The sequence below is a fragment of the Homo sapiens genome, chromosome 4, assembly GCF_000001405.40.
Source record: "Homo sapiens chromosome 4, GRCh38.p14 Primary Assembly".
Lineage (NCBI taxonomy): Eukaryota > Metazoa > Chordata > Mammalia > Primates > Hominidae > Homo > Homo sapiens.
The window spans coordinates 5738802-5752444 of record NC_000004.12 but is presented as its reverse complement, the minus strand read 5'-3'; the positions used below and the strand labels follow the sequence as shown (position 1 = coordinate 5752444).

The 13643-nt window shown below is 45.4% G+C and overlaps 1 protein-coding gene across 47 annotated transcripts in view; it reads right to left on the bottom strand.

Moving 5' to 3' along the window:
• The window catches only part of EVC (EvC ciliary complex subunit 1), a 117857-nt gene that overhangs the window by 76613 nt on the left and 27601 nt on the right, over positions 1–13643 (bottom strand). For 45 of the 47 annotated variants that reach the window (XM_047449774.1, XM_047449769.1, XM_047449778.1 and 42 more), the window contains exons 6-8: positions 10631–10729; positions 7104–7241; positions 4139–4297 (exon numbers count right to left, since the gene is read on the bottom strand). In XM_047449774.1, coding sequence (XP_047305730.1) covers positions 4139–4297; positions 7104–7241; positions 10631–10729 — 396 coding nt within the window. Of the gene's footprint in view, positions 1–4138; positions 4298–7103; positions 7242–10218; positions 10505–10630; positions 10730–13643 lie in introns of those variants that run through there. The other 2 variants (XM_047449810.1, XM_047449808.1) reach the window with 2 other exon arrangements.

Below are 13643 nucleotides of genomic sequence, written 5' to 3'. Positions count from 1 at the left end.
AAGTGCCAGCAGTTCCTGGCTTTTGTTAGAGCCCCAGAGAGCCTGACTGCTGAGGACGGCCGAGATTTTCAGGGGAATGATTGGCTTCCAACACGACTCCCCGCAGTCAGATTCTACAGAAGGCCCTCCCCAGCCCCACCTCATCATTTCAGGGACTCTCAGAAAAGACAGGGGGAAATGTCAACCGGAGGCAGCCAAGGGCCCTGCACACCTGAGAGCAGCTGCTTGTGGAATGAGAGTAAGGGGGAAAGGAGGAGCGGACGGCGGACGTTGGCATCTCCCTCGGCACAGACTCTGCACCCCCCACTCCCAGCCACGCCCAGCTCAGGCCTAGGCACCTCTGTGCTGGGCCGAGGCCACAGGCCAGTCCTGCTCCCCAGCCTCCCATCTCTGCCCCATGCTCTAACCCCACCTCACAGAACAGCGGACCTTTCAGAGATGCTGATGGTTCTGTCAGCCATGGCCCCAAACCCTCCTGTTGCTGCCCTGAGATCAAGTCCAGCACCCCAGGCATGGTGCAGGAAGTTCTGTGGGGCCCTGTCCTGCACACCTGCCTGGTCCCGGCTGCCCAGCCTCTGCACATGCGGGGCCTTCCTCCTGGAACACCCTCACTGCCTCCTCTCACTCCCCTGCCCAGCCAGGTCCTTCTATGTCCTCATGGGTTCTGTGGTCCTTCCCTGCTTGTCCCCACCCTCACTGGTCCCCTACTCTGTTCTCCACTGCCCCAGGGCTCCTGTCTTCGAGGAGGTGATTGTGAGGGGCAGTCCCAGCCTGGACTGAGAGCCCTTGAAGACAGGGGCCAGGCCTGAGTCGCCCACGTCCCCTTGACCAGCCATGGCCACACTGTGCGCTGAGCTGCACTGGCCTCTGTTCCCACAACACAAGACTAGGGCAAGAACATCCCCCAGCGATGGACAAGGACGGCGAGGCTCATTCCAGCAGCCCGTGAACCCTAGAGGGTGCAAGAGGATAAGCGGAGGTGCCAGGTGGGCCGCGGGAAGGGCGGCTCTGGCCACCTCTAAAGAGCATGTTGAGAACCCAACACAGGCTGGCTGGATTCGGCAGTGGTGGTGCAATCGATGTGCTTATATTGGAGGGAGGATGGAAGTGGAGAGAGTGGCGTGAGAAGAGGGATGTGGAATGGGGGAAGGGGGCCCTGATGTGCTCTGAGTGTGGCTGAGTCAACAGTGCCAGGCTCAGACTTGGCTCCCAGGACCTGAGCACAAGCTCCTCACCTGACCCTTGCCACACAGATTTGACATGAGGATTAAGTAAGTCAAAATACGTGAAGCATTGAGAACAACGGCCAGGGAACAGTGAGCCTCCCTGAGTGTCAGCTGTTTTCACCATTATCTACAGCCAGTCCCATCTGTCTTGGCAGCTGTTTTTTTTCCTGTGAGTCTCAAGAAACTGAATCTGATGACCGTCAGGGTCCCTTTGAAGGGCTCTTCCAGTTTTAATATTTACAGATGCACATTTCAGCTCCAAATGCCCAGGCCAGAAAGATGGGATGCCGCCCTGGGAATTCCAACTCTTCTGTGTTCTGAGATACGGAAGCCATCTTTTTTCCCTTTGGTGCCCGGTATGCAGGCATAGTGAATCCATCCCTCTTCTATACAAACATAGACTGTGTAGCCCTGTCCATGCATCATTACAGTAATTTTTTGCTGTCTATTTCTCCTGCTGACATGTGGCCTGCAGGACTCTAATGACTAACAAGTACTGAATGCTTCCTACGTGCCGGGCTCTGCTCTAAAAACTTTACATACTGCCAAGTCTTTAACACCCTCAACTACCCTGTGAGAGAGCAGGTGCTATCATAGCCCCCATTTCACAGAAAATGAAACCAAATCACAGAGAGGTTAAATTATCTGCCCAAGATCACACAGCTAACGAGTGGCAAGACTGCAGTGGGAGCTCCAGTTTCTTCCCTGAGCCTGCATTCCTAACCTCTGCAATATGGTTTCCATGAACAGCATGTGCTACACAGTAGGTGCTCATTAAACATTGGCTGAAGGACAGTCATGCTGTTAAACTGGAGGATCCCTTTCCTTCTTCCTATTTGGAAGTTATTGGCTGATACTCTGGCCAGAGTCAGCTAAGGATGTATTTTCTTTTTTCTGCATCAATATCCTGCTGATAGCAAAAGAAAAAAATATAGGAAGAAAAGTCTTTCACCTTTGCAGAGCATTAATGAGTCAGCAGCCTTATCAAACTGAAATCCAATTCAAAGGGGCTTGGGCAGCAAACCAGGAAGCTTCAGGCCCAGGCTCAGCGATGTCATTAGAGAGGACGGGGATCTTAGGTGGATCACTGAGTGGGCTCCTTATCTGCGTGCTGTGAATAAAATATCTTCCATACCTATCTTTCGGCAGTGTTGACAGAAAAAAAAGGCCATGTGTGTATATACCGAGAAAAAGCACATGAAGTTCTCAAACAACTGTGTGGATGTGGGGGTCTTGTTAAAGTGCAGATCCTGCTTGGGAAGGGTGGAGGACAGGATTCTGCACTCTAACCAGCTCCCAGTGTTGCCGATGCTGTGGTCTGTGGATCACACCTGGAGGAGCAGAGCGGATTGGGAGAGGCATGTGGTGTGCAAGGGGAGGCAAAGATCCGTTGAGGCTTGGCTTTCCCACGGGTCTGAGGAGCTGAGTCTGTGCTGAGGGCAGGGTGGCCACTGCAGGGTTCTGAGCCGAGCTGCCACACGGGCTGGTGCACAGGACGGGGAAATGGGTGCAGGGCAGCATCAGAGGGCTCGTTCCCTGGCCCTAGTACACACTGGCGCACACAGGATGAGCCCAATGTGTACCAAGAGGAACCCAATGGTGACTGGGGTGTTAGGAGTCACTCAGCATCTAGCCAGGCCCTGTCTGTGGCAACTCTTAGCACTATTATTTTATAAATAGAGGAACAGACGCGCAGAGAGGTTAAGTAATGTGTTCAAGATCACACAGCTCCAAACAACAGAGCCCAGAGTCAAAGCTGGATTCGCAGATTTCTCTCCCACGGGTGTCCAACCCTTTGAATGTGAGGACTTTTTTGCTTATCTGTGGTTGGCAGGCTTCACAAAAATAAGGAGGGACCTTTTTTTTTTTTTTTTTTTCCGCTCATCAGCTATCGTTAGTGTTAATGTATTTTATGTGTGGCCTAAGACAATTCTTCTTCTTCCAATGTGGCCCAGGGAAGCCAAAAGGTTGGACACCCATGCACCAGGGGTTTGTATCCCTGGCCTCCCGTCAGAATAGTTCAGGGAGTTTTAAAACCCACAATGCCAGGGCCTCCACTCCAGACCAATCATATTAGAACCTCAGAGTGAAGGCCAGGAAAAGGCATTGTTAAAGAACTCTGCAGGCAAAACAGGGCAATCAGGAAAGTCAATCAATGCTCTGTCTACACCAGTGGGCGTCAACCCCAGCTCCCACCATCGTCATTGGGGAGCTCTAAAAACCCCAATGCCCAGCCAGGTTGCACCCCAATCTGATTAAGTCAGAAACTCTGGGATGGAGACCCATCTGGGGCCCAAGAATCAGTACTTTTTAAAGCTCCCAGATAATTTCAATGTGTAATTTCAGGTTTAGGACCAGTGTTCTATGCTCCAGTAATACTGAGCTGGCCAGAGCCTTCACTCATTGGATAGACGGATGGATGGATGGATGGATGGATGGGTGGATGGATGGATGGATGAGTAAATGGATGGATGGGTGGATTGATGGGTGGATGGGTGGGTGGGTGGATGGGTGGACGGGTGGATGGATGGGTGGGTGGATGGATGGATGGAGGGATGGATGGATGGATAAATGGGTGGGAGGGCAGATGGATGGATGGGTGGGTGGATGGATGGGTGGATGGATGGATGGATGGGTGGATGGATGGATGGATAAATGGGTGGGAGGGCAGATGGATGGATGGGTAGATGGATGGATGGATGGAAGGGTCAATGGGTGGATGGATGGGTGGATGGATGGATAAATAAATAAATGGATGAATGAATTTACTGTTGTTGTTGGTTTTTTTTTCCCTGAGGCTCTATATAACCAGCTACAACATGAATCTGTTAGATTTAAGGATGTCAAGCCTCAGGATTCCATATCTCTAGTCTGAATATCTTTATGTTCCCTCCCGCCCCCTCCAGCATTACCAGAGCCTGCAGCTCCTGAGAATCGCACAATAGCCCTTCGGCTGCAATCATTCTTTCCGTCAGAGTCATCATCAGCTGTCGGGCTTTGGAGCTGGAACACTTAAACTGGTCCACAAGAAAGTGCTGGATATTTGCCATCTGTTTCCAGAAAGCTTCCATCTGTGAAATGAGCACAAGCAGCAAGAAGTGAGGTGAAAAACTTACTTAAGAAAGCCAAACGGTGCGTGCTCGGGAATTACAATTCACTCCCTATCACAAACAAAGATTCTAAACAATTCTACAGTTTCAGTGAGTTTATCTTGGCAACAATCACGTTCTACAGTGAAGTTCTTTCTGGTTCCATTGTCTGGTTCCAGTGTCAGTCAGTTTTGCAATGGTGTTTCAGCAGACACGAGAGCACTGCTGCTAAGGAAAGAAAGCAGTAGCTTGTCCAGCCTACAGACTCTTGCACAGGTCATTACAGCTACCTAGGGGCCGATGAAATGTGACAATGTGCTCATGGAAGCTTTGGCAATTTTAAATGGGATTAAATACTTCCTGGAAGTAAAAGCATAAACAGATGTTTAAATATTAGTTATTGTCCTAAAAGTACAAAAGCTTAATATGGCAGAGAGGATGCTGACCATGAAAACATTTTGCTTTAAAATCTTCCCTCCCCCTCATTTTATCAGGAGCAGAGCTGGGAATTCCCAAGTGGCTTAGAATGCAGGAGGTTTAATTGAGTCATCACAGCCAGTCAGAGCTCTAAGGACAATGACACTAGGAATCGGAGCAACTTTCCCTCATGGCCCACAGGCTGTTCGCCAGGCTCTGTGCTTCACACATTTGATATCATGATAAAGTATGTATCTAGAGGTGTAGGAACAGGCTCGGGGGAGTTAGGTCACTTGTCAGAGGTCATGGACCCAGTGAAAGCCCGGATTTGGTTCAGGTCCATTTAACTCCACGGCTGAGGTTGCCTCCATCTTGGCTCAGCCTCTGAGAGGCTGAAATGGACACTTCTGGCTGGACTGGGCATGGGAGGGGGCAGGGGTTAGTGTCACCAGAAACCCATGATTTTGTTGCTGTGACTCAAGATCATGAAACTCTGTCAGCCTCAACTGCGGTGTCGGTCTGGCTCTGCCAGGAGGAAGCCTGCACCCAGATGAACACCCCTCATCAATGCGGCTCCCCATCTCAGGGCCCCATTGCCTCCCAGTAAACCCCATACATGCTGCTCCTCCTCTCATCCCTGCCAGGAGGGACCTCAAACCTGCCTGACACCCTCAGGCTCTCACCCTGCTCTTCCCCTTGGAGCCATCAGATGACCTGCCTTCCACCTGCCACGTGACTGCAGACTGTCACCTGCCAACTCTACACAGCCCGCTCTGCTTACAAACTCCTGATTCTCTTGGCGTCCATGACATGATTTTCTCCTGCTTCTGCAAAGCCCATCCAATTCCTCCTCTGCTTTCTTGTCCCAATTCTTCTCATCCGCTCCTCCTTAAATATGGGCAGGATCCAGGATTTGGCACCAAAGCTCTTTTCTCTTCCCATTTTACACACCATTTCTAGGCCAGAGGTCACCATTTTTGGAGGTCACCAATACTTTGGAGAATCTTATGAAAATTCTGAACCCTGTCCCTGAGAAAGGCAGACATGGACAAGATACTGCACACAGCGTTGGGGGTTCTGTGGACCACCGGAATCCAGGCTGGCCCTCTTCCTTAGCATCCTGGCCCACAGTTCTAAGAACATTCTGGCCCTCAAAGTCCTCTAACCTGGGCTCTCATGGAGACCCTCCATCTCCAAGCCTCTCCTCTCAATATTGGACCTATTCAGAGGACAGGAGCATTGGCTCCCTCCCTCCCATGAGCATCTTGCTCTGGGGCGCTTATTTCAGCAGCACTGACCCTGGACCCCCTCCTCCTCCCCACCTGCCGCCCCATGGTAGACCACCACAGCTTCTCTCACACGTTTCCTCACCTCTCCATCCTACTGCAGTTGCCTTAATAAAGTTCCTGCTGGATTAGCCCAGTAGCTCTTCACCACCCTCCACTCAGTGCCTGGGCAGCCCTTCTAAAGCAGAAGCTGAAGCCAGCCACCCCCTGCTTCAAAGCTTCAGTGACTCCCACCTCGCTGGCAATAGACACTCCCATCTCGCTGGCTTAAGACACAAACAAGCCCTCTGGCCAGATCCCTCTGGCTTTACCTTACCTCGACTTGCTCTCAGCCCTCTTTAGCTCCCATCTCTGCCCCACCACTGGCCAGCACCCACACTTCTCCCGGCCAGCCTCTCCATGGTCCCTTCTTCTACGGAGGCTTTCCTAAGCCTGGGGTAAAATGAACTCTTCCCTCCACTGTGCCTGCCTCGGGCCTTCTCCTGTGCTTCCTTCTATCACAAGATGTGTCACTCTGTGAAGCCCTCATCTGTTCACCTGTTTGTCTCTCCTGGCCTCTCTCAGGCAGGGCCATGTCTAAATGATTTTTGAGTCCCCAGTGCCCAGCACAATCCCTGGTGAAGAGCAAGTGCCAAGGACATGTTTGTTTAATACATAATATATGAACAGGGGGTGGTGGAACCCAAAAGAAAAGAAAAACGATGTTTCAGAGAAGCCATTCTGTCTGGAATTTAAAACTTGCTTTCACGAGTGATGCCTAGCAGCTTTCTTCTACTCTATTCCAAAGGGCAGTGATGACATCAAGGGTTATAGCAACCTTTGCTTTGAATGATAAAAAGACCAATCTGAAATTTAAATGAGGATAATTCATGATATAAAAAATAAACCTCCCTTTGTGAATCTTTGCTGCTTAATTACTTCTTCCCTATCACTTAGCATCAGAAACTGGATCCTGCCTCTAGGGCAGAATGCGATAGGGGAATTCAAGTATTAGGCACACTTCTAACTATCATCTCTCTAATGTAGCCAATTTAACTGTTTTAGGAACCAAAATTTGTGTACAGGAAAGAAAGTCTGGCACGCACATTATCGATTAGCTGTTCAGAGTATTCTCTCTCCTTCTTTTCCACATCAGCCAGGGTGATGTACTCAGAGTCACCAGCCCCCGACATTTCTGTGTTTGACAGTTTGACCTGAAGTCCCTTTTCTAGTTCCTCCAAATCCTGAAGAAGAAGAAGAAAAAAGAAAGCAAATAAACAAAGAAAAAGTTTAGCGTGTCTTAAATTCTAGAAAAATAAATGCTTTTATTTTTCAAATTTCACAAAATATTTTTAAACAATAGTTAAATGCTCTGGGGGTTGTTGTACATGAGGTTTGACCCATTTTCTCATTAAACATAGAGCCTCAAGAATAATGGATTATTTTCCTCTATATCCTCCCTCAAAAAAAAAAAAAAAACTAGACCATACTTTAAAAATCAATAAAATAGTATCTTTCAATCATTATGAAGTCCTGGAAAATATCATGACATCCAGTGGGTTGGGAAGGAATGTTTCTTTGCTCCTCTTCTGGTTTTCCTGGGAAAGAACAACACCCCAGGGCAGGAAGTGGTGTGTATTTGATTGGTTGGTTTAAAGGCCAGAAACTTGCCCAGCCTCTTCCTGTTTGTGATGGGCCAATCAGGGGAGGCCATTGCTCTGGTGTGATATCAGCCTAGAGTGAGCTGGGTAGCCAAGGCCCTGTTTCTGTGTGGGGAAGCCTGAGGTGGCCCAGCATTGCCCGTGACTAGCTAGGCAATTGAGTGAATTCTGGGATTCAGTATTAGGAAGCCATGATAGCTGTGCATGTAAGCCACATCGTCCAAGCTGGCCTCTAATCAGTAACAAAGCTACATTTCTATATCTGTCCTCCTGACTCTCTCAAATGATTCTGAACTCAGGAAGGAAAAGGTGAGTCCTAAGTATAGACTCACAAACCCCAAGATAGTGTGTGGGAGGCAGTTCTATTTTCTCTATATTCATTGTCACATAGCCAACAGTGTGGCATGGGTCAAGGTTCACTAGGAAAAATAACATTGATATAAACTACTATTGAAGACCCAAGCTGAGGCCATATGTGATTTCTAATCCTCACGGCATCTCTGTGAAAGAGAAATTATGACCCATTTCCAGGTGAGAAAGCTGGTTTATGGAAGGTAAGATAGTTTGTCCAAAGATGCCCAGGCAGGAAGGGGCAGTGCCAGGCTTGTCCTTACTCTTCCAAATTCTGGGCACTCCTTGTCCTCTTCTGAAAGTTTTAAGGTCATTCCAAGTGTTAAATGAAATTATGCATTTAAATCACTTGGCTAGCCTATCTCAACAAATAGTAGCCACTATTATAATTAACATGCTTGCTTAAGTTCAGACAGCCTTGTTTAACTCGTAGAGATGGAATTTGATCTGAGGTCTGCAGACTCCAAGGCTCTTATTCTTTCTATTATAACAGACAGTATTGTTTCATTATTACTAATACCATTATAAATGTCATCATCATCATTATCATTTTTGCCATTGGAAAGTCATTTGAACTTATGGAGTCTCAGTTTCTTCAGCTGTAAAACAAAAATAACAATGGCCACTCACAGGGCTGTCATAACTATTAAATGAAATAATGTATGTCAAGCACGACGTGCACTGCCTGAGGACCATGACCATGGTGGTGATACTGAGGATGACAGTGAAGATGATGATGTCCTTCCTCCTTCCTGGGATGCAGTGAGTCATCCTTCCTCATGGAATCCAGTGGAGTAAAGAAGAAACATTCCTTCCCAAACCCCCAGATCTCACAGTGGTAGGAACAAGGACGATGACGATGACAATGAGGACTCTAATGAAGGTGAAGGTAGAGGTAGCAGGAAAGATGATAAAGGTGGTGATGGTGGTGCTGATGAAGATGGTGATGATGGTGGTGCTGATGAAGACTATCACAACAATGATGCGATGACGATGGCAGTAATGAAAATGATGACAATAACAATGATGATGATAATGAAAATGATGGCAGGGGATGATGAATAAGAGGCTGGTGATAGTAGTAACGAGAATAATGATGACAATGATGGTGAGGATAAGGTGAGGTAGGAGACTGGCAGGACTTGTTTTCTGATCACAACCCTGCTGATCAAAATGGGATCTGGTCCAGACAGGATAAAGTGAAGAAACCGGCAGGAACCAGTGGATGGTGATGAAAGTGATCCCTTGCTGCCCTCATTGCTCATTAGCATAAGACACTCCCACCAGCACAACCACAGATTACAAATGCCATGTCAACAACCCAAAAGTTACCACCCTTTTCCATGGCAACAACCCAGAAGTTACTGTCCCCTTTTTAGAAAGTTCTAAATAACCTGTCCCTCAATTTGCAATGAACTGCCCTTTCATTTGCATGTAATTGAAAGTGGGTTTACATGAGTATAAATACAGTTGCCAAGCATCCATATGTTACCAACTCTGGGCACACTGCCTACGGGTTAGCCCTGCTCCGCAAGGAGTGGCACCATTCACTAAAACACTACTGTCTAACACCACTGGCTCTCCCTTGAATTCCTTCCTAGGTGAAGCCAAGTACCCTCCCAGGCTAAACCCTATTCTGGAGCTTGCCTGCCCTGCAACATTGGTGGTGGTGATGGCAATAAGGATGGTGATGATGATTATGGTGGTAATGAAGATGATGATGGCGGTGATGGTAGTAATGAGAATGCCAATAATTACAACAATGATAAAAATGATGCTCATGATGATGGTAATGAGGACATGAGGATGGTGATGGTGTTGGTGATGACAGCGGTCATGAGGATGATGATGATGGTGGTAAAGACAAAGAATGATGATGTCAGTGGTGACAATAGCAAAGATGATGGTGTTTATGGTGATGACAACAATGACATGATGAAGAAGAGAACTGTGATAGTAATAGTGGTGGTGATGGTGATACAAAATAAAACTGGTGGTGATAATGAAGATGATGATGATTTTGGTGGTGGTTGTGATAATGAGGATGACAGCAGCCATCACATATTCACAGCCAACTATGACATTGCTAGGTGTATCATACACATCTCTCTTATCCTTTCTGCACTCTCGCAGAACAGGAATTATCTCACTATACAAAAAGGAAACTACGATTCTGAGAGCTTGTAAAAGATAAAGCCAGGATACCAACCTCAACCAGTCTGACTCCAAGCCCTGACTCTTTGCTGCGCCTGAGACAAAATAAACTTTCCATAAAAGACTGAGAATAGAATACAAAGTAGTATACATAGCTATAACCAATAAACAAATTATGTCTTTAAAAATATCCCAAATGTGTGCAGAAAAAAACATTAACAGTGACCGTCTTTGAGTAGTAGATATGACCAATATTATTCTCTTTGCTATAAATAGTATTCCAAATTTTAATAATACACTTTTTAAATATTTGTATACATACTTTTATATTTCACTATACTGTGTTGAAAAGTATATATTGTAATAAGCTATTTTATACATGAAAGAAAAAAATTTTTGCATCATAAGTTGTATATATTATAATAAACTATTTTTAAGTTACCTTGAAACATAGGTTGAAGACTTACTTTTTCTTGTTTTGAAAGGATCTTCTGGTATAGTTCATCATCTGACTTCTTTTTAGGAAGAAGGTCAAGGAGGCACATTTTAAAAATCTGAATAAACATCTATTGCCAAGAAAGGAAAGATAACAAAAGAAAAGTTTAATCAATGGTATTTTTGTCTTTTGCTTTCTGTTTTCTCTTCTCCCTCCCTCCCCCACTGCCTCTCTCCTTCTTTTCTTCTCTTTCACCCTCTCTTCACGTATATTTTTTGCTGAAGGAAAGGAACTCCGATTATAAATCATGACAATGGCCCATAATGCATTACATTTTCATGAAGCTTCCTTAAAAAGCTTCCTTTCTTCCTCATGCATGTATTCAACAAATATTGAGTGCTTACTCTGTGCAAGGCCCTCCACATCCCCCATTTCCATGTGTGAAGAAAATATAAAAAGCAAAGGAGGGTTTGCTTCTTTGAAGAAAGAATCAGCGGGATAGTTGTATGGAACTGGAAATGAAAAGTTATCCATGTCAGTCTCCTGTTTCAATGGATGGAGATGTCCTTTAAACTAGGAAGAACCCTCCCATAAGTGGGGATACCCAGGAAGTACAGAGGGGGCTGTATCTGCAATTTGTTGATCTATTCACCCCTGTAAGACATCTGGATTATTTCCAGTTTGGGGCTATTATGAACAATGCTGCTGTGAACATTTGTGTGAACGTAAGTCCTCATTTCTCTGAGATAAATGCCCACAAATGCAATTGCTGGGTCTTCTGGTAACTGCAAGTTAAGTTTGATAAGAAATTGCCAAAACGTTTTCCAGTATGGCCGTAGGTACCATTTTATATTTCCATCAGCAATGTATGAGTGATCCAGTTTCTCCACATCTTTGCCAGAATTTGGTGGTGTCACTATTTTTTATTTTAGCCATTTTGACAAGTGTGTGGTGATATCTTATTGTGAGTTCAACTTGGATTTTCATGCTGGCTTAATGACATTGAACACCTTTTTACGTGTTTACTTACCATCTATATATCCTTTTTGGTGAAATATCTGTTCATGTCCTTCCCATTTTCTAACTGGATTGCTTCCTGTCTTCAGCTGAGTTTGGAAATTTCCTTATCTGGTCTAGGTACTAGTCCTTTGGTGGACATCTGTTTTGCAAACATTTTCTCTCACTCTGTAGCTTGTCTTCTCATCTTCTTAAAGAGGTCTTTTGCAAAGCAAAAGTTTTTAATTTTGATGAATTCCAGTTAATTTTTCCTTCTGTGTGTCATGCTTTTGGTGTCAAGTCTAAAAACTCTTTGCCTAGGTCTAAATCCTGGAGAATTTCTCTTATATTTTTTCTTTTTCTTTTTTTTTTTTTTTTTGAGATGGAGTATCAGTCTGTCGTCCAGGCTAGAGTGCAGTGGTGCAATCTTGGCTCACTGCAACCTTCACCTCCCGGGTTCAAGCGATTCTCCCACCTCAGCCTCCCAAGTAGGTGGGATTACAAGCATGTGCCACCACACCCGGCTAATTTTTGTATTTTTAGTAGAGACGAGGTTTCACCATGTTGGCCAGGCTGGTCTTGAATTCCTGACCTCAAGTGATCCACCCACCTCAGCCTCCCAAAGTGCTGGGATTATAGGCGTGAGCCAACCATGCCTGGCAATATTTTTTCTAAAAGATTTATAGTTTACTGTTTACATTTAAGTATGTGATCCCTTTTGAATTAATTTTTGTATAAGGTGTGAAGTTTAGGTTGAGGTTCTTTTGTCGTTGTTATTGTTTATGGATGTCCAATTGCTCCAGTACCATTTATTGAAAAGCTTATCATTCCTCCATTGAAGTGCTTTTGCCTCTTTGTCAAAGGTCATTTAGATATAATATGGTCATTTAGATATAATAAGGCATTTTCTTTTTCTTTGGTGAACCGGTAAGGCTTTTTTTTTTTTTTTTGAGATGGGGTTTCTCTGTGTTGCCCAGGCTGGTCTCGAACTCCTGAACTCATGCAACCTGCCTGCCTCCACCTCCCAAAGTGCTGGGATTATAGGCATGAGTCACTGCATCCCGCCTGGTAAGGCATTTTTAAATGCAGGGGTTAGCAAACTTTTTCAGTAAAGGGTGAAACAGCAAATTTTTTTTGGCTTTGCAGGCCATATGATCTCTTTTGCAACTACTCAGTTCTGCGGTTGTGGCATATGCCACACAGGCATACAGGCAATATGGAAAAGAAGGACATGGCCAGATTTGGCTCAAGGGCCACAGTTTTTGATCCTTCTTTTAATGGATTAAGGCTTGTTAATCACTCTTCTGGGCCAGCCTAATGTATGTATTATACATACTATCACTTGATCTCCATGGCATGCGGGGAGGTTGGTACCATCTTCCGCATTTTACAGATGAGAAAATGCCCAGCAACTTGCAGGGGCCACTTGCCTCCTGCCACACAGCCACATGCGACAGAGCTGAGATTTGAACCCAGAATTCTGCCCACCAACCTTCATTATATTTGCCAATGACAATGAGCTCTAAGGAGAAAGTGGTGTCCTGGCTTTCTACTCACTGAAGACTGATATGGTATAAGATATAATAACATTATTTTTGCAAGATGTTAGTTTCGAGTCTACTTTCTTCCTGACCCCAAATAAATCAGTAATGTTTACAGCCCTCATCCTCTCCCTTTCCATAGTGCCAACTTTGAGATAGTTATAGATTCAAATGAAGGTACAAAAATAATACAAGCATACCATGGAGGTATTGTAGGGTTGATTTCAGGCCACCTCAGTAAGGTGAATATCACAATAAAGCAAGCCGCACACATTTTTTGGTTTTCTAGTGCATATAAAAGCTATGTTTACACTATACTGTAGTCTAAGTGTACAATAGCAGTATGTCTAAAAAAGTACATACCTTAATTTTAAAAATAACTTCTTCCTAAAAAATGCTAATGATCATCTGAGCCTAAGATGATTATTAAAAAAAAGTTGTTGGGCTGGGTGCGGTGGCTCACACCCGTAATCCCAGCACTTTGGGAGGCGGAGGCAGGTGGATCAC